This window comes from Homo sapiens, chromosome 6 (genome assembly GCF_000001405.40).
Source record: "Homo sapiens chromosome 6, GRCh38.p14 Primary Assembly".
Lineage (NCBI taxonomy): Eukaryota > Metazoa > Chordata > Mammalia > Primates > Hominidae > Homo > Homo sapiens.
Window position 1 is genome coordinate 18835780 of NC_000006.12, and position 987 is coordinate 18836766.

Genomic DNA, 987 nt, shown 5'->3' on the forward strand with positions numbered 1-987 from the left:
ACTTTCTAGCTCATCATCTTTCTGTATGGCCATTATGATATTTCTTTGGAATAAAAATTGCTTACCAGGATAAAGGGCAGGTCTTTGTCTCTCTCATTTACCACTGTATCCCCAGTGTCACAATAATGTCTGGTATGTAGCGGATGCTCAATGAATGTTGGTGAAGGAATTAATAAATGAATGCTATAAAGGCTTTTATCAAAAGTAAGTACGACTTAGAGAATATAGTGAAAAGTCAATTAATCCAGCTTTGCCAATAACATACAAAATCAATATGCATGTGGATTTGGAATTTTTCATTGGCTTTACTGATCTTTACGATGAGTGTCTTATTAGTCATCTGAATCGCTTTCTGCTGCCTGAATTTCTAGAATAAAACAGCAGGGAGGAGGGTTCCATGGTGTAATGGTTAGCACTCTGGACTCTGAATCCAGCGATCCGAGTTCAAATCTCGGTGGAACCTTTCATATTGGCTGGGTGCTGTGGGAGGCCAAGGTGGGCAGATCACGTGAGGCCATGAGTTGAAACTCAGCCTGGCCAACATGGTAAAACTAAAAATACAAAAATTCAAAATTAGCCGGCATGGTAGCAGGCGCCTATAATCCTAGCTACTTGGGAGACAGAGGCTGCAATGAGCTTTGCCACTGAACTCCGGCCTGGGTGACAGAAGGAGATTCTGTCTCAGAAAAAAAAAAAAAAAGGTCCACAAAATCAGAAATTATTCTTTCATCCAACAGGCAGTTGGTCATATACAGAGATTCCAAAGGAATTCCTTACAGATTCTTATTTTTAAAATAACACTAGCTAGAGAGGAGAGGTCATAGGATGGTTTAATTCATGCCATGTACCCTGACCCACAGACACTTGTGACAATGTGTCTGTGTCACAATGTGTCACTGACACATTAGTAAGTGCAGTGATGGGCTGTATAATGAGGTTTCAGCCAATGATGAACAGCATGTGTGGTGGTGGTGCCCTAAGATTATA

The 987-nt window shown here is 40.7% G+C and overlaps 1 non-coding gene across 1 annotated transcript; it reads left to right on the top strand.

Annotated features, from left to right (window-relative positions):
- Window positions 1-391: 391 nt before the first annotated feature.
- Window positions 392-463, top strand: TRQ-CTG1-1 (tRNA-Gln (anticodon CTG) 1-1). The gene has a single exon. It is a non-coding gene; the product is annotated as a tRNA-Gln (tRNA).
- The last annotated feature ends 524 nt before the right edge of the window (window positions 464-987 follow it).